Source organism: Homo sapiens, chromosome 1, assembly GCF_000001405.40.
Source record: "Homo sapiens chromosome 1, GRCh38.p14 Primary Assembly".
In the NCBI taxonomy this organism is placed as follows: Eukaryota; Metazoa; Chordata; class Mammalia; order Primates; family Hominidae; genus Homo; species Homo sapiens.
The window spans coordinates 9,652,576-9,672,124 of record NC_000001.11 but is presented as its reverse complement, the minus strand read 5'-3'; the positions used below and the strand labels follow the sequence as shown (position 1 = coordinate 9,672,124).

At 49.1% G+C, this 19,549-nt stretch overlaps 1 protein-coding gene, 1 long non-coding RNA gene and 1 pseudogene across 25 annotated transcripts in view, besides 2 other annotated features; 2 read left to right on the top strand and 1 right to left on the bottom strand.

The window, feature by feature from the left end:
- PIK3CD (phosphatidylinositol-4,5-bisphosphate 3-kinase catalytic subunit delta) overlaps positions 1–19,549 on the bottom strand; it is a 101,857-nt gene that overhangs the window by 56,990 nt on the left and 25,318 nt on the right. For 3 of the 24 annotated variants that reach the window (XM_047422552.1, XM_047422576.1, XM_047422562.1), the window contains exon 2: positions 7,367–7,529. The exons of the other annotated variants lie outside the window; for them this stretch is intronic. The gene's annotated coding sequence lies outside the window, so the exon portion shown is untranslated. The remainder of the gene's footprint in view (positions 1–7,366; positions 7,530–19,549) is intronic. 24 annotated transcript variants of the gene reach the window in all.
- Positions 9,497–9,837, top strand: RPL26P7 (ribosomal protein L26 pseudogene 7; annotated as a pseudogene).
- On the top strand, positions 17,539–19,515 carry PIK3CD-AS1 (PIK3CD antisense RNA 1). Its single transcript, NR_027045.1, has 2 exons — positions 17,539–17,927; positions 18,082–19,515. It is a non-coding gene; the product is annotated as a PIK3CD antisense RNA 1 (long non-coding RNA).
- Positions 18,152–18,201: an enhancer, noted in NCBI's record as "active region_135". NCBI's record gives its function as "activates an Ori minimal core promoter by ATAC-STARR-seq in GM12878 lymphoblastoid cells {active_cell/tissue: GM12878}" and the evidence as "EXISTENCE:reporter gene assay evidence [ECO:0000049][PMID:35858748]".
- Positions 19,342–19,411: an enhancer, noted in NCBI's record as "active region_134". NCBI's record gives its function as "activates an Ori minimal core promoter by ATAC-STARR-seq in GM12878 lymphoblastoid cells {active_cell/tissue: GM12878}" and the evidence as "EXISTENCE:reporter gene assay evidence [ECO:0000049][PMID:35858748]".

Genomic DNA, 19,549 nt, shown 5'->3' with positions numbered 1-19,549 from the left:
ATCCCATCTCTTCAGGCTGGAGGGATGGTGGGAAAGTTGGAGAAACACAGCCCATCAGGGTCAAGGTTACTGCCAGCTGCCCGGCCATCTCCTACCCACTCCCCCTGGGAACCCGCAGCACAAGGGCTCCTGGGGTGCTGCCTTGTGAGCCTCACAGGTGACACCAGAATCCACTGCTGTGGCCAAGGTCACCTGAGGGCAGACCGCACTGTGAGCTGCCATACCTTCCAGTCCAGGCCCCTTGAGTGGGGCCAGGGGCGGCTCTTGCCACCACCCTGGGAGAGGAAGAAAATGGCCTGCTCAAGATCTCACTTCCAGCAGTATTTGCCTCAGATACCCAAGCTCCTTCCTACCTTGAAAGGCTAGAAAACGCTGACAAGGCCAGATGTAGTGGCTCATGTCTGTAATTCCAGCACTTTGGGGGGCCGAGGCGGGAGGATCTCTTGAGTCCAGGAATTCAAGAGCAGCCTGGGCAACATAGCAAAATGGGGTATTTATTGACACATGCTCTGTGCATTCCATCTGAGTCATTCATGGGAAGATCAAATAAGGTAATGGATGAATAAAGCTTACTACACCCTGCAAACCTCAAGAACTCATGACAGGAACACCTGTCATTAAAATCCACTCAGCTAGGCTGAGCAGGGCTCACCCATAGTCCCAGCTACTTGAGAGGCTGAGGTGGGAGGATCATTTGTGCTCAGGAGTTCAAGAGCAGCCCGGACAGGCCAGGCCTGGTGGCTCACACCTATAATCCCAGCACTTTGGAAGGCCAAGGTGGGTGGATCTCTTGGGCCCAGGAGTTGGAGACCAGTCTGGGCAACACGGTGAAACCCTGTCTTCCATTGAAATACAAAATGAGCGGGGTGTGATGGCATGAACCTGTACTCTTGGCTACTTGGGAGGCTGCGGTGGGAAGATCGCTTGAGCCCAGGAGATCAAGGATGTAGTGAGATATGATTGCACCACTGCACTCCAGCCTGGGCGACGGAGTGAGACTTTATCTCAAAAAAAGACCAGCCCCTGGACAGTAGAGTGAGACTCGTTTCTAAATAAATAAATTTTTAGGCCAGACGCGGTGGCTCACATCTGTAATCCCAGCACTTTGGGAGGTTGAGACGGGCAGATCACTTGAGGTAAGAAGTTTGAGACCAGCCTGGCCAACAAGGTGAAACCCCATCTCTACCAAAAATACAAAAATTAGCTGGGTGTGGTGGTGGGCGCCTGTGGTCCCAGCTACTCGGGAGGCTGAGGCATGAGAATCGCTTGAACCAGGAAGGTGGAGGCTACAGTGAGCCAAGATCGCACCACTGCACTCCAGCCTCGGTGACAGAGCGAGACTCCATCTAAAAAAAAACCAAAAACAAATTGTTTTTTAAAAATCCACTCCCTACCACAGTGTGGGCCTCAAAGATTCATTCATCCAATGGTAAAAACTGCAACTTTTTGGGTACCCATAACTTGGTCCAGGTGTTTCATTATTTCCAATCTTTACGACATCTCTACGACAATCCAGTCAAAGAGGTACTATCATCCTAATTCTCAGATGAGAACCCAGAAACTTAAATAACTTGTCAAGGTCCCCTACATGTTAAGTGTCAAAGCCAAGATATGAAGCCTGTAATTCTAAAACTCTTGCTTTTAATGCTAATCTGAAGCTAACCTTTTATTCATTTTCAAAACACGGTCCTGCTGGAGAAATGGAGCCATTCACATCTTAGGAAACTATCACATATTAGATGTGCTGCACTCAATTTACAAATAGACCACACATCATCACCGGTTTCCAAATGACAGCAGATGGGCTGTATTATTCAAATACTCATCACACCACACAATAGGGAAAAAAAGATTCATGACCTGGTCATGGCTCCTGGATGCTTGAAACCATCAGAAACAGAAGTTGTGGTCTGGGAGTACATCTCCTTTCCTTGGCTCTGAATATGAGGAACTTTTTTTTTTTTTTTTTTTTTTGAGGTGGAATTTCTCTCTTGTCACCCAGGCTGGAGTGCAACCTCTGCCTCCCAGGTTCAAGTGATTCTCCTGTCTCAGCCTCCTAATTAGCTGGGATTATAGGCACCCACCACCACGCCCAGCTAATTTTTGTATTTTTAGTAGAGACAGGGTTTCACCATGTTGGCCAGGCTGGTCTCGAACTCCTGATCTCAGGTAATCCACCTGCTTTGGCCTCCCAAAGTGTTGGGATTACAGGCGTGAGCCACCGCGCCTGGCAAGAAACATTTTTAATGGACTTTTTTAGAAGGATGTGTAACGAGAAAGTTGAGGTTTTTGTTTTTCCTCCTAGAAGAAAATTCTCATGAAGTAGTTCATTTGAGACCAATATCCTGATGTTCTTAACTTCCTCCTCAACAGCAGGTCAGCAGTAAAGAGGAAAATGCAGGCATCAAGCACACCCTGTTTGCGTGACTTTCCTCTCCTCCCTTAAGGCTCCCTGAAGCCCCCTCAAAACGAATGCCAAGGCCACTCTGAAGGGTTTAAGAGGTCTGGCGCAGGCTCATGCCCGTAATCCCAGTACTTTGCGAGGCCGAGGCAGGAAGATCGCTTGAGCCCAGGAGTTTGAGACCTGAACCAATGTATACTTTTCATGTACTGATTTATGATTTTACCTACAATTCCTGTCTTCCTAAAATGCATAAAACCAAACTGTAACCCAATCGTCTTGGGCACACTTTCTCAGGACCTCTTGAGACTGTTTCTTGGGCCATGGTCACTCATGTTGACTCAGAATAAGCCTGGGCAACAAAAGGAGACCTCCATCTCTACAAAAAGCTACAAAAATTACCCGGGTGTGGTGGCATATGCCTGTTGTCCCAACTACTAGGTGGGCGGATCACTTGAACCCAGGAGACTGAGGCTGCAATGAGCTATGATAGCTCCACTGCACTGCACCCTGGGTGACAGAGCAAGACCTTGTCTCAAAAAAAGTTAATTAGAAATAAAAATAATTAAAAGGTTTCAAGAGCAGGCATTATGGGCAGCAACCCAAGCTGGAGTCAAAGCCCCAGATTCTGTCCCCTGAAATACCTGAGGAATCCACCTGGCTGCCTCAGTTTCCCAAACAGCATATAGGGTCATCTGGATGTGAGCAGCGAACAGTCACCAAGACAAATTCTGGACTTGAATGAAACCATTAGTGAGTCCTTAGCCCCCATTTCCATGCTCCAGAGGCTGCAGGACCACAGCAGACTCAGAGTCCTGGAGACACAGCCCCGTCAGCCCCTACTCATCTGCTCAGGGAGCTAAGACCACATGGGAGAGGTTCACCGGCTTGCTCAGGGAGGCTCACACCCAGATCCAGTCAGCCAGCCGAGGACACAGTCTATTTGGACAGAAAGAGGTTGTCAGCTCCCCTTCTGGGACCATCTACCTCTAAGGCAGAAAAATCAATCTGCTATAGATTAAAACAAAATCAATCTTGAGGGAGAACAGAGACTTGTTAATTTATATTAATATATAATAAGAATGAGGGGAAGCATGGGAGAGGGTGAGGGATAAAAGACTACACATTTGGTACAGTGTACACTGCTTGGGTGACGGGTGCATCAGAATCTCAGAAATCACCACTAAAGAACTTACTCGTATAACTAAAAACCACCTGTACCCCAAAAACTACTGAAATAAAAATAAAAATAAAGTATTTGCCAAACCAAAAAAAAAAAAAAGAATAAGAACAGCTAATATTTACAGAGCATCAACTATGTGGAAGGTGATGTTCATTATCTATTTACCTTATTTAATCCTTCAGACAAACCTAGGAATGGGCCCATTAAGGTTCATTTTACAGACAAGGAAATAGAGGATCAGAGAAGTTAAGTAGGCACCTCAGAGTCACACAGCTGGGAAGTGGAAGAGCTACGGTTTGAATCTGAATCTGCCCACCACTAGAGTTCATGGGTTTAACTACTGCATTACTGAATTTCAAGATGAATCCAACTCCCGGGGAGTTGGTTCACTGGACAACTAAGGAAGTGCAGACCTCATGCTATACATCCAGCCAGTAAAGAGAAAGAAAGCTATTTAAACTCATTGGCAATAAAAGAACTAGGTTTTACACCAGGCGTGGTGGCTCACTCCTGTAATCCCAGCACTTTGGGAGGCGAAGGCGGGAAGATCACTTGAGCCCAGGAGTTCCAGACCATCATGGGCAACATGGCGAAACCCTGTCTTTACTAAAAAAAAAAAAAAAAAAAAAAAACAAAAATTAGCCAGGCATGGTGGCAGCACCTGTAGTCCCAGCTACTTGGGAGGCTAAGGTGGGAGGATCACTTGAGCCCAGGAGGTCGGGGCTGCAATAAGCTGTGATTGCTCCAGTGCACTCCAGTGTGGGCGACAGAGTGAGACCCTATCTCAAAAAAAAAAAAAAAGAAAAAGAAAAGAAAGATATGTTTTAAATAATTACCTCTGAGCCTATTAGCAAAACATTATTTCGGCCGGGCACGGTGGCTCACGCCTGTAATCCTAGCACTTTCGGAGGCCGAGGCGGGCAGATCACGAGTTCAGGAGATGGAGACTATCCTGGCTAACACGGTGAAACCCAATCTCTACTAAAAATACAAAAAATTAGCCGGGCGTGGTGGCGTGAGCCTGTGGTCCCAGCTACTTGGGAGGCTGAGGCAGGAGAATCACTTGAACCCGGGAGGCGGAGCTTGCAGTGAGTCGAGATTGCGCCACTGCACTCCAGCCTGGACCACAGAGTGAGCCTCCATCTCAAAAAAAAAAAAAAATTCTTTCAATATTATTCAATGCTGGCAAGGATGTTATGAAACTATTATATGTCACTGGGATAAATTGGTCACCCAGGCTGGAGTTCAATGGTGTGATCATCACCCTTGGCAACCTTGAATTCCTGGGCTCAAGCAATCCTCTCGCCTCAGCCTCCCAAGTAGCTGGGATTACAGGTGCATGCCACTGTGCCCAGCTAATTTTTAAAAACAATTTTTGGCTGGGCGCAGTGGCTCATGCCTGTAATGCTAGCACTTTGGGAGGCAGAGGCGAGCAGATTACCTGAGCTCAGGAGTTCGAGACCAGCTTGGAAAACATGGTGAAACCCCGTATCTACTAAAATACAAAAAATTAGCCAGGCATGGCGGTGTACGCCTGTAGTCCCAGCTACAGGAGGCTGAGGCAGGAGAATCACTAGAACCCAGGAGGCAGAGGTTGCAGTGAGCCGAGATCATGCCACTGCACTCCAGCCAGGGCAACAGAGCGAGACTCCATCTCTGAAAAAAAAAAAAAAATAGCAGGCATGGTGGCGCAAGCCTGTAATCCCAGCTACTGGGGAGGCTGAGGCAGAATTGCCTGAACCCGGGAGGCAGAGGTTGCAGTAAGCCAAGATCGCACCACTGCACTCCAGCTTGGGCGACAGAGCGAGACTCTGCCTCAAAAAATAAATAAGTAAATAAAAATTAAAAAAGAATTTTGTAGAGATGGGGGAGGGTCTCACTATGTTGCCCAGGTTGGTCTCGAATTCAGGTGTGAGCCACTACACCTGACCTCAAGCATTTATTTCTACTGATTTCAAGACAAAGCTTAACTCTTTCAACGAGTTGCCAATCAGAAAATCTTTGAATACGGCCAGGCATGGTGGCTCATACCTGTAATCCCAGCACTTGGGAGGCCAGGGCAGGTGGTTCACTTGAGCTCAGGAGTTCAAGACCAGCCTGGCCAACATAGTAAAACCCTGTCTCTACAAAAATACAAAAATTAGCCTGGTGGGTGCCTGTAATCCCTGCCACTCAAGAGGCTGAGGCAGGAGAATCACTTGAACCTGGGGGGGCAGAGGTTGCAGTGAGCCGAGATTGCACCACTGTACTCCAGCCTCGGTGACAGAGTGAGACTCCACCTCAAAAAAAAAAAAAAAAAAAAAAAAAAAAAAAGACCGGGCGCGGTGGCTCATGCCTGTAATCCTAGCACTTTGGGAGGCTGAGGTGGGTGGATCAACTGAGGTCAGGAGTTCGAGACCAGCCTGGCCAACATGGTGAAACCCCATCTCTGCTAAAAATACAAAAAATTAGCAGGGTATGATGGCGGGCGCCTGTAATCCCAGCTACTCTGGAGGCTGAGGCAGGAGAATCGCTTGAAGCCAGGAGAAGGAGGTTGCAGTGAGCCAAGATTGTGCCATTGCACTCCAGCCTGGGCAAAAGAGCAAAACTCTGCGTCAAAAAACAAAAACAAAAACAAAAATTAGCTGGGCATGGTGGTGGGCAGCTGTAGTCCCAGCTACTTGGGAGGCTGAGGCAGAAGAATAGCTTGAACCCAGGAGGCGGAGGTCGCAGTGAGTGGAGATCGCACCACTGCACTCCAGCCTGGGTGACAGAGTGAGACTCCGTCTTGGGGGACAAAAAAAAAGAATGAAAGGGTTTATAGGATGACGAAAGCTGAAATGTTTAAACAGAAAGAAGTCTCCTTTACCTAAATATTTTATGAGAATGGATATAATATCTGGCTGCGGAATATTTCCCCTGCCTACTATTGGAAACCAGGAAGCGTGTAAATCCCCTCCTCAAGCAGTATTAATTGGACATGTCAATGTCCACACCAAGCCCACACAGTGTAGAATAGAAGCTGCAGTGCCGGCATGTACTGGCATGAGCGAATTCTGTTCCACAGCCCTGTGCGGAATGTAAACCAGAGCTACGGCAAGAGCTTGTGAGCGCTCCCCATCTCTACCAAAATACAAAAAATTAGCCGGGCATGGCGGCGTGCGCCTGTAGTAGGGGAGGGTGAACTGGCACCCAAATCTCCCAGAGATGAGGTAACTACTGGGGCTTTGGAGTAGAGCATTTCCTCTTGAGAGGCATTTACTACCTTGCCATGGGACATTCACCAAAGCTACCCCTATGATGGATATGACTGAAGAACATGAAATTACTTTTTCAGGTTTTTTTTTTTTTTTTTTTTTTGACAGGCTGTCACTCTGTTACCCAGGCTAAAATGCATTAGTGCGATCACGGCTCACTGCAGCCTTGACCTCCAGGGCTCAGGCAATCCTCCTGCCTCAGCCTCCCAAGTAGCTGGAATCACAGGTGCACACCACCACACCCAGCTAACTGTTTTTATTTTTTGTAGGACAGGGTCTCCCTTACGTTGCCTAGGCTGGTCTCAAACTCCTGGGCTCTAGCAATCTTCCCATCTTGGCCTCCCAGTGTGCTAGGATCACAGGTGTGAGCCACTGCACCCAGCTAGGACATAAAATAATCTTAAGACTGAAATACCCAGGACATCTCAGGTGATGTCAAGGAAACACTCTAACAGGGATGACAATGCCCAGAAGAGTTCCCTAATAAAACAGAAATCATTTATACACGATGGCATTACCTGGGGAAGGCAAGGAGGAGATACTCACATGAGCAGGGATCCTCTTTTCCCCTAGGACTGACTCTGGCACTATGATGAGCAGCTGGATTCTGTAGCGCCCAACAAACAACTCTCCCTGACCAAACGAGAGCTGCTGGGGTGGTGGCTAGCAGTTCCAAGGTGAACAATGCCTCGTTTGCAAAGATGCCAATCTGATCAAAGATGGTAAAAACAAATCAGCTCTAAGGGTCGAATTGCATGCTGTTTTCCCAGCAGTGATGGGAGACTTGAACAGTGGTAAAACCCCCTGTATCTGTGCAGGGCTTTGGGTGCCAGTTCACCCTCCCCTTGTGGGTGGTGGTCAACAGCCTGGCCATACATTTAGACAGGAGGGCAATGCAAACCTGACCTATTAAACGGATATTTCTTTGGGACACAGCCCTATAGAAAATGAGGGTAGGCTGGGTGCAGTGGTTCACGCCTGTAATCCCAGTACTTTGGGAGGCCAAGGCAGGTGGATCACCTGAGGCCAGGAGTTTGAGACCAGCCTGGGCAACATGGTGAAACCCTGTCTCTACTAAAAATACACAAATTAGCCGAGCATGGTGATGTCTGCCTGTAGTCCCAGCTACTTGGGAGGCTGAGGCAGGAGAATCACTTGAACCCGGGAGGTGGAGGTTGCAGTGAGCTGAGATATGCCACTGCGCTCCAGCCTGGGCGACAGAGTGAGACTCCGTCTCAAAAAAAAAAAAAAAAAAGAAAGAAAGAAAAAGAAAAAGAAAGAAAGAAAACGAGGGGTGCATTGAAGTCGGACCTCTTCATCAATGATAGACTGGATTAAGAAAATGTGGCACATATACACCATGGAATACTATGCAGCCATAAAAAAGGATGAGTTCATGTGCTTTGTAGGGACATGGATGAAGCTGGAAACCATCATTCTCAGCAAACTATCGCAAGGACAAAAAACCAAACACTGCAGGTTCTCACTCATAGGTGGGAATTGAACAATGAGAACACTTGGACACAGGAAGGGGAACATCACACACCAGGGCCTGTTTTGGGATGGGGGGAGGGGGGAGGGAGACCATTAGGAGATATACCTAATGTAAATAACGAGTTAATGGGTGCAGCACACCAACATGGCACATGTATACATATGTAACAAACCTGCACGTTGTGCACATGTACCCTAGAACTTAAAGTATAATAAAAAAATATTAAAAAAATAAAAATAAAAAAATAAAGTAAATAAAGTCAGACCTCTTAATGCCCACCAGAAGAGCCTTCTAGGTTTGGAAGGTGACAGGAATCAACAGGTAGATATCAACAGGTAGATATCCCACATGCTCCCTTGAGATGGCCATCTGGGTCCGTGAAATGAGGGGATACGGGCCCCACAGCGGTGCAGAGATGGGCTGGATCTAGCATGTTCCTCCGCACCCTCTCGGGCACATAATGCCAGGAAGAACTGTCCTGTGTGCCAGTGAGAGAGACAGACACTGCACAGGGCTGTGGGGTAGCTTCCCTGGTGGGAGGCCCTGAACATGGCTGGCAAGTGAAACTGAGGCTGGTAGCCCTGGGGACTACGACTGGGTCTTGAATAGACGCTGACTTGGAGTGGGCTTTGCTTACCCAGTGGAAAGTGCAAATGCTCAGAGCGCCAGAGCCAAACCAGAACAGAAGACACCGTGTGGGTTTGGATGGCTGTCATTTCTTCAGACCACAGAACACGCTGTACAGCCCATAATGTCCAGCTATGGGCTGGACAGAGAGACAGCCTCCGCAGAGCAATAGTTTGATAAAGAAATGGAACCGCTGCCAGGTGCAGTGGCTCACGCCTGTCATCCCAGCACTTCGGGAGGCCAAGGCAGGTGGATCACCTGAGGTCAGGAGTTCGAGATCAGCCTGGCCAACATGGTGAAACCCCGTCTCTACTAAAAATACAAAAATTAGCCAGGCGTGGTGGCATGCACCTGTAATCCCAGCTGCTTAGATGGCTGAGACAGGAGAATTGCTAGGACGCGGGAGGTAGAGATGGCAGTGAGCCGAGATCTTGCCACTTCACTCCAGCCTGGGAAAAAGAGCGAGATGCTGTCTCAAAAAAAAAAGAAGAAAGAAAAAAGTAATGGAACCGCTCTTCACTTTTGTGGCCATCACCGAAGCCGGAGTGGCCAAAATGAAGTTCAATACCTTCGTGACTTAGAACCACAGCAAGAACCACAAAAGGCATTTCTATGCACCTTCCCATATTCGCAGGAAGAGAGATTGTCTTTCCCTCTTTCCAAAGAGCTGAGGCAGAAGCCTAAGTTCAGGTTGTGTGAGGACACCACAGAGGCCAGCAAACCAGCAAAGCGGGTCCAGGTTTAAAGGAAGAAATACGTCATCTACACTGAACGAGTGCAGGGGGAAAAGTCTAATGGCACGACTGTCCACGCTGGCATTCATCCCAGCCAGGCTGTTATCATTAGGCTAACACTGGACAATGACCACAAAAAGATCCGTGAATGGGCCAGGCGTGGTAGCTCACGCCTGTAATCCCAGCACTTTGGAAGGCCAAGACAAGAGGATCTCTTGAGCTCAGGAGTTCGAGACCAGCCTGGGCAACATAGCAAGACCTTGTCTCTCAAAAAAAAAAAATTTGAGATCGAGTCTCGCTCTGTCGCCCAGGTTGGAGTGCAGTGGCATGATCTCGGCTCACTGCAACCTCCGCCTCCCTGGTTAAGGGTTCAAGTGATTTTCCTGCCTCAGCCTCCTGAGTAACTAGGACTACAGGCATGCACCACCATGTCCGGCTAACTTTTTTTTTTTTGAGACAGAGTCTCACTCTGTCACCCAGGCTGGAGTGCAGTGGTGCAATCTCGGCTCACTGCAAGCTCCGCCGCCTGGGTCCACACCATTGTCCTGCCTCAGCCTCCCAAGTAGCTGGGACTACAGGTGCCCACCACCAAGCTCGGCTAATTTTTTGTATTTTTAATAGAGACAGGGTTTCACCGTGTTAGCCAGGATGGTCTCGATCTCTTAACCTCGTGATCCGTCCGCCTCGGCCTCCCAAAGTGCTGGGATTACAGGCGTGAGCCACCGCGCCCGGCCAATTTTTGTATTTTTTTGTAGAGACGGGGTTTCGCCATGTTGGCCATGCTGGTCTCAAACTCCTGATCCTAAGTGATCCACCCGCCTTGGCCTCCAAAAGTGCTGGGATTACAGGTGTGAGCCACCACACCCGGCCTCTACTAAAAAAAATGTTTTAAATGAGCCAGGGGTGGTAGCATGCACCTACAGTCCCGGCTACTCCAGAGGCTAAGGCAGGAGGATCACTTGAGCCCATATAGTCGAGGCTGCAGTGAGCTGTGATTGCACCACTGCACTCTAGCCTGGGCAACAGAATGAGACCCTATAAGGAAAAAGAAAAGAAAAGAAAAATCCTTGGCTGGGTACAGTGGCTCAGGCCTGTAATCCCAGCACTTTGGGAGGCCGAGGCGAGTAGATCACCTGAGGTCAGTAATTAGAGACCAGCCTGGCCAACATGATGAAACCCCATCTCTACTAAAAATACAAAAATTAGCTGGGCGTGGCCGGGCACGGTGGCTCAGGTCTGTAATCCCAGCACTTTGGGAGACTGAGGCAGGTGGATCACTTGAGGTCAAGAGTTCGAGACCAGCCTGTCCAACACGATGAAACCCCATCTCTACTAAAAATACACAAATTATCTGGGCGTGGTGGCGCATGCCTGTAATCCCAGCTACTCTGGAGGCTGAGGCAGGAGAATCGCTTGAACCCGGGAGGCGGAGGTTGCAGTGAGCCGAGATCACACCGTTGCACTCCAGCCTGGGCGACAGAGCAAGACTCTGTCTCAAAAAAAAAAAAAAGAAAGAAAAAAGAAAGCAAGAACAAATCCTTGAATGGAAAGCCAAATCTCACCATGTAGGAAATGAAAGGGGAAAATACAAGGAAGAAATAATTAACAAGATGCAAGAATAAAGTCATTTTATATACAAATGTTCCTTAAAACTGCTAAAGTGGAAAAAAAAACCCAAAAAAGTAGAACTGGCGACTGAAAGGCTGGCTGTCTGAAGTGGGGAGACAAAGGCATGAAGGGGTGGCTCAGCTGCCTTCCCGAGTGTGTGCCCACGCTCAGCCTGGGAGGCACCAAGGAGTATCCCCATGTGCTATTCCTCTGTTTTCCCGGTGGATCTGGGCAAGAAGGGTGGGAAGGACGATGGTATGACTATAATTCTTGCTAAGACTGGTATAATGACTGTAATTTTTTCTTGCTTCCCAATAGCAGCTCAATGGCACTTACACTGCCACTAAAAAGGATGCGTAGGTTATGAAGCAATGTGGAAAACTGTTAATGAGCCAATGTTAAGTGAAAAAAAGCAAACTACAAAAGCACATGCCTAGCTGCTCAAAAAAATTAAAAATTGGATTACCATATGATCCAGCAATTTGGGTATATACCTGAGAGAACTGAAGGCAGGGACTTCAACAGGTCTCTGTCCACCCATGTTCACAACGCAGCATTATTCACAAAAGCCATAGAGTGGGAGCAACAGAAGTGTCCATCGGGTGAATGGAACGAAAGAACATGGTCCTGGCCAGGCGCGGTGGCTCACGCCTATAATCCCAGCACTTTGGGAGGCCGAGCGAGCAGATCGCTTTAGGTCAGGAGTTTGAGACCAGCCTGACCAACATGGTGAAAGCCCGTCTGCTGAAAGTACAAAACTAGCTGGGCGTGGTGGCACATGCCTGTAATCCCAGCTACTTGGGAGGCTGAGGCAGGAGAATCACTTAAACCTGGGAGGCGGAGGTTGTGGTGAGCCAAGATCGCGCCATTGCACTCCAGCCTGGGCAACAAGAGCAAAAATCCGTCTCAAAAAAATACAAAAATTAGCCAGGTGTGGTGGTGCGTACCTGTAATTCCAGCTACTCAGGAGGCCGAGACAGGAGAATTGCTTGAATCAGGGAGGTGGAGGTTGCAGTGAGGCTGAGATCATGCCACTGCACTCTAGCCTGGGTGACAGAGCAAGACACTGTCTCAAAAAAAGAAAAGAATGTAGTACCTACACACAGTGGAATGTCCAGCCTTAAAAAATGAAAGAAATTCTGATACATACCCCCACACGGATTAAGCTTCAAGAAACATGCTAAATTAATGAAGCCAGTAATAAAAAGACAAATACTGTAGGATTCCACTCATGTGCAGTACCTAGAGTTGTCAAAAGCACAGAGACAGCAGAATGGCTGCCAGGGCTGGGAGGAGAGGGGAGTTAGTGTTTAAGGGGAAAAGAATTTCAATTTTGCAACATGAAAAAAATGCCTGAGGGTGGGCGGTGGTGACGGTTGCACAATAGTGTAAATCCCACAGAACTGCGCTCTTAGAAATGCTTAAGATGGTAAATTTTATGTTATGTATATTTTACAATTAAAACATGAAAATTAAGATAAAAAGCATATGCCTACTAATTACGACTAAATTATTTTTTATTTTAAGTGCTGGGGTACATGTGCAGGACGTGCAGGTTTGTTGCATAGGTAAACGTGTGCTACGGTGGTTTGCTGTACCTATCAACCCATCACCTAGGTATTAAGCCCCGCGTGCATTAGCTATTTATCCTGATGCTCTCCCACCCCCTACCCCACCCTCACAAGCCCCAGTGTGTGTTGTTCCCCTCCCTGTGTCCATGTGTTCTCATAATTACAACTAAGTTAAAATGCACATCCAAAAGAAGTTAATGGAAAGGATACCCAAATGGGCAACCGCTGTGTTGGGCTAGAGGGATGATGATACATGACTTCTGTTTCTAATCCACTCCACACCAGCTCCTTTGCAGACACTGCATGGATTGCTATGTGCCTGGCACTTTACACAGGATAATATACAAAATCCTCAAGACTAACAGGTAGGTATTGCTGTCTCAGTGTTACAACTGGACTCTGAGGTTCTGATGGGTTAAGTGACTTGCCCAAGGTCACCCAGCAGATAAAAAGTGGCTTGGTGGCCAGGCCCAGCACTTTGGGAGGCCGAGGCAGGTAGATCACCTGAGGTCAGGAGTTTGAGACCAGCCTGGCCAATATGGCGAAACCCTGTCTCTACTAAAAATACAAAAATTAGCCAGGTATAGTGGCATGTGCCTGTAATCTCAGCTACTCGGGAGGCTGAGGCAGGAGAATCTCCTGAACCTTGGAGGCAGAGGTTGCAGTGAGCCAAGATCCCACCACTGCACTCCAGCCTGGGTGACACAGGGAGACTCTGCCTCACCAAAAAAAAAAAAAAAAAAAAAAATGTGGCTGGGAAAAAACCCAGTTCAGCTGACTCCAAAGACAGTACATTTTCTCCCACGTGGCAATCCCCCTAAAACCACCACCTCACCCAGCCCCACCCTCACCTGGACATAAATGACTTTTTTTTTTTTTTTTTTGAGACAGGGTCTCGCTCTGTCACGCAGGCTAGAGTGCAGTGTTGCAACCATAGCTCACTGCAGCCTTAAACTCCTGGACTCAAGTAATCCTCCCACCTCAGTCTTCCACATAGCTGGGGCTACAGGCGTGCATCACAAGGCCCAGCTAATTTATTTTTATTTTTTGCAGAGATGGGGGTCTTACTATGTTGCCCAGGCTGGTCTCAAACTCCTGGGCTCAAGTGATCCTCCTTCCTTAGCTTCCCAAAGCATTAGGAATACAAGCATGAACCACCATGCCCAGCCATAAATGGTTTTCCAAAGTTTCAAAAACAAGGCTGATTATGCTTCTCTATTGATAAGAAAGCACTTCTTCCAGATTTCATGACCAACATAGAAAAGAGCAATGCCCCCACTGTGGCTGATGCAAGGGGGGGGCCCAGCCCTTCCAGAGAGCCCTGGAGCACCTCACCCAATCATTCTCCCATGTCCTTATCCACCCCTCCTACAAACTTCAATGATTAATGGGGCTCCCCAAACCCCTCCCAGTGCCACCAGCCCCATACCATGTCCTGGGGTAAGAGGTGGGAACAGAGCAGTGTCTGTGTCACCATCTGAGCCCTCCCCCCACCTCTGCCCAACAGATGAAATTTCAAAATGTGAGGGGCTGTGTGACCTCAGAGAGAGAGAGAGTAGCCCTGGGCTGGGAATGGGCTGCGGAGGGCAGGGACTGTTGTTGAAGATAAAGAGGGAGGAGTTTGTTGGGGAGGGAAAGTAAGAGAAGCATTTCTCCTCCTGAGCTCCAGAAGTTTTCTGCTCCTGGGACCCCAGGAGGTTGGGGGTGAGGTGGGGACTGCCAGTTCATAAAAGTTGGGGAACGGAAAGCAGGAAGGAGGCTGGGGTCAATGGTCCAGCAGAGACCACCAGGGACTCTGACATCTTTGCCTAAAGTCACCCAGGGGAAAGTGGCAGAACAGGGCGGCTTCCCTGCAAAGATAACCGCACTTCCCACCGTCCCCAGAAAATACAGAAAGACATTCCTGTTTATCTGTAAGCGGGCTGATTGGTGGCCCCCACAAAGATAGGTCTTAACCCCCAGGACCTGGACATTATCTGGAAAAATAATAATGTGGAAAATGGGTCTTTGCAGATGTAAGTAAGTTAAGGATCTTGAAATGATTTCTATCTGAATTATCTGAGGGAGCCCTAAATCCAACAAGAAGTGTCCTTAAAAGAGACAGACGGAGACCCAGACACACGGAGGAGATGCCCTTGTGAAGACGGAGGCAGAGACTGGAGTGATGCAGCCACAGGCCAAGATACGCTGGAGCCCCCAGAAGGAAGAGCAAAGCAGGATTCTCCCCCTACAGCCCCCAGAGGGAGCGAGGCCTTGCTGATGCCTTAATTTTTAACTTCTGGCCTCCAGAACTGTGAGAGAATACATTTTTTTTTTTTTTTTTTTTTGAGATGGAGTCTCGCTCTGTCACCCAGGCTGGAGTGCAGTGGCACAATCTCAGCTCACTACAACCTCTGCCTCCTGGGTTCAAGTAATTCTCCTGTCTCAGCCTCCCGAATAGCTGGGACTACAGGCACGTGCCACCACGCCTGGCTAATTTTTGAATTTTTAGTAGAGACGGGGCTTCACCATGTTGGCCAGGCTGGTCTTGAACTCCTGACCTCAGGTGATCCACCCGCCTCAGCCTCCCAAAGTGCTGGGATTACAGGCGTGAGCTATCACACCCGGCCCATTGCTGTTGTTTTCTTTTAGTGACAGGATCTCGCAATGTTGCCCAAGTTGTAGTGCCATGGCTACTCACAGGCTCAATCATGGCTCACTGCAGCCTCAAACTCCTGGGCACAAGTGATCCTCCCACCTCAGCCTCCCAAGTAGCTGAAACTATAAGCATGCACGTTTCTGTTTTAAGCCACAAAGTTTGAGGTCATTTGTTACAGCAACCACAGGAGGTTAACACTGGTTGAGCATCCCAAATCTGAAATCTACAACGTTCCAAAATCCAAAATTTTTGAGTGCCATCATGATCAAATACAAAGCTCCTTGGAGCATTTCAGATGTCAGATATTTGGATTTGGAATGGTCAGTTGGTAAGCATATAATGCAAATATTCCAAAATCCAAACTCCACCCCATTTCTGGTCCCAAGCATTTTGGATAAGGGATACTTAACCCGTACAGCATCCCTCCAGGACCAAAAATCCCAAATAGGTCTATCCCTTTCTGCATCTCCTCCTCCCCCACCCTACTCCTGGCACCGCCCACTCTTCCGGCATTTTCTCTAAGTGGAAGCAATTTCCCCCAATATGAGTGAAACAGAAGCCAACCGAAATACCACTTTGGAAATGCCACACCCTTCACTCTGATCACTCCCCCTGTGCTCAGAATGTAATAGGAAGGCCGCGCATGGTGGCTCACGCCTTTAATCCTAGCGCTCTGGGAGGCCAAGGTGGGCAGATCACCTAAGGTCAGGAGTTCGAGACCAGCCTGGCCAACATGGCAAAACACCGTCACTGCTAAAAATACTAAAAATAGCTGGCCATAGTGGCGCACATCTGTAATTCCAGCTACTCAGGAGGCTGAGGTGGGAGAATCGCTTGAACCTGGAGGCAGAGGTTGCAGTGGGCCGAGATCACACCATTGCACTCCAGCCTGGGCGACAAAGCGAGACTCCGTCTCAAAAAAAAAAAAAAAAAAGAAGAAAAAAGAAAGAAAGTAATAGGAAAAGGGACCCATTTCCAGGAGCCCTGACCCTTATCCGAGGTGGTAAGGTTGTGACTTCTGGGGAGGGAGGGGAGTTTCACGCATATCCAGCCAGTGCAGCTGGAAGGGGAACTTTCACAGGCCCTAGGGACTGTGCTGGCCCTCAGGGAGGGGAGAATGGCCGTTATTTTGGTAGGACCCACAGCAAGTCACAGTGTTTAGCTGCAATAAAAAAGGGGGGGGGGCGGGGGGTTCCTGGGTTTTTTATTTTTTCCATCTTGAAACTGGCAGCATTTCTGCTATGATTGCCGGGGATTTCCACCAACCAAACTAAAGACAACTCAGTCTTAGCGTTAACTGTAGGGAGAGAGGTGGCGTTTTGCCACCTTCGCTATTTATGAAACACTGTCACCGGTACCAAGATGACAATATTTTCCTCCCTTTCAAACAAGCCAGGCTCTGCCATCCTCCAGTGGATAGGGCCCTTCCTTGTCTCCTCCATCCCGGGGTACTGCTTCTAGACCATCTTCTCTAACAGCTTTGCTGAAAAACACACTTGTCCCCTGGGGAGTAGCTGAAGCCACCCTCCTGGCTGAAAGAGCTTTTTTTTCTTTTTTTTTTTTTTGAAATGTAGTCTCACTCTGTTGCCCAGGCTGGAGTGCAGTGGCACAATCTCAGCACACTGCAACCTCCACCTCCCGGATTGAAGCGATTCTCCTGCCTCCACCTCCCAAGTAGCTGGGATTACAGGTGCTCATCACCACGCCCAGCTAATTTTTTTTTTTTGCATTTTTCGTAGAGACAGATATTCACCATGTTGGCCAAGATGGTCTTGAACTCCTGACCTCAAGTGATCCGCCCACCTCGGCCTCCCAAAGTGCTGGAATTACAGGCGTGAGCCACCGCGCCCAGCCTGAAAGAGCCTTCTGAAGGTCCCACGTTAAGGAAACATTTGCTGGGGCCCCAAACCCCACCATCAGGCCCACACCGGCAGCTGGCCTCAGGGAGGGCGGGAACTGCTCTCTACACAAAAATGGTTTTGAAAATAACCCAGCCAAAGGGGAATTGCTTCATCCGTTGCACATTCACTTCTCCCTTTCACTGTGCAATTTAAGTAAAACAAGATGAAGCAGGAACCGACTCTCACCATCCCCACTCCCACCTCCATGAATTCCATCGGACAGTTGTGCGAAAGCGGGCTGGCTTTCGCACAACCATTGGTGGACTGTCTGTCCTGTAAGCCCCCCAGGGGCTGATGCCCTCCCAGTCTGCCTGCCCTGTTCTTAGCACAGCCCCTGGCACCCCGTGTGATCTCAGGAAACACTTGCTAAACATGGTATCGGAGGAGAAACGGAGCCCACAGCTTAGTGCAAAGACCTGGCGGCGTGGACTGAGGCTGCAGAAACGCAGAAACGCGCTTTTCCTGCCAGAAGGGGACATCTGCGTGGTCGGGAGTACCTCTGGGGCACGTGCCCTAATTCCAGAAACATCTAAGTGAGTAGTGTGGCCAATGTAGTCTGTTTCTGAACAGGGGCTGAAGGGCGGGGGAAGTGGGGCTCAGAAGGAGGCTAGCTTAGTTGTCTCTGGAGCAGGCAACTGGGTTGTTGTATTATGTTTCTCAGAGATGGGCTCTTGCTCTGTCACCCAGGCTGGAGCGCAGTGGCACTGTAATAGCTTACTGCAACCTTGAACTCCTGGCTTCAAGTGATCCTCCCGTCTGGGCCTCCCAAAGCACTGGGATGACAGGTATGAGCTACCGCTCTCAGCCACAACTGGGTTTTAAGAGCACTCCTCCAGCCCACTCCAGTGTCTTCCATCATTCTGTGAAAGCACCAAAAGAGGACCAAGCCCAGGAAGCCGCCAGCAGGCCTCTCACCAGCCAAGATGGCTGGAATCCTAATATCAAGAAATGAAACTCCAGCAGGCCATGGAAATGCTAAGGGGTTGGCATTTCTGCTCTAGAGAGAGCCAAAGAGAAAGCTCTATTTATATCTCCTTGCGTTTGGTCGCAGCCTCATCAACCAAAAGAACCTTCCGCCCCACTCAACACATCAATCAAATTGGGGAGGGGGTGTGAACAGCAGCAGCGGGTGTTACAGAGGAGTCTCAAGGGTATCTTAGAGGGTGCCTCTCTGAACAGTCGTCCCCTCCAAATCCCCCCCAAGAGAATTACTAGGACATTCTCCTTCCCCCGCAAGCAACGGCACCCCCAGATGATTAAACGCGCTGGCGTCGGAAAGAGCTGGGATCCTGGAGAAACTACTTGTAAACTGTGTGGGTTGGTGAGTTATTTAACTTTTCTGAGCCTTCGTTTCCTTAACTGTAAAATGAAGACAACACCACTCAGCTCCTACAGTTGTCCAGCTGAAATCACCTAGGTAAGAACGACCAGTTCTTTGGGGAGTAATGTCCCGATGGTACCATTCAATTGTCAAGAACACCAAGGCACCGTCAGGCACCCGGGCGGTATCCCACTCTCCTGGAAGAGAGCAGGGGGTTAGCCCTTGGTTTCAAAGTCCCTAGGGAGCAGTAAACCTTCCCCTCCGAGAGCCCTGAGAGAGGAATAATTGCCCCTTCCCACTCCAACCCACGGCACACCCGCCCACATCCACGTGCGGCTGTGCCCAGCATCTCAGAGGTAGGACTTCTCAGGAATCGGCGGGAAGAAGCCCCCTTGATGGAGTCTGGTGGGGTTCAAGATCTGCAGGTCCCACCTTCCAGGGAACACCTGCACAAGTGAGACCTGCCCGATCAGCCCCGCGCTCCATCCGCAAACTGGGCAGATCCCAAGGGTGCCACGCGAGGACCCTGCACCTTGGCCGCTCCAGGGCGCCCCCCACCCGCGACCCCGGAAATCTCGCCCCTACCTGCTTCACCCTCGCCCCACCCACAGCGCACTTTTCGGGACCTCCCAGCGGCCCTTCCCCGGTTCTCTGGACCCCCGTCTCCCCGCCCTGCAACGCCCCCATCCTGGTGCCCACGAAAGGTCGTCCCAGTTCCCCTCTTCTCTACCTCAAAGGAGGAGGTGCAAATGAGGAAGCCTAAATAAAAACAGGAAACTCGATTTTTTTAAAAAGCCTCATTCAGGCTGAATTACGGGTAAGAGTATTTTTTTA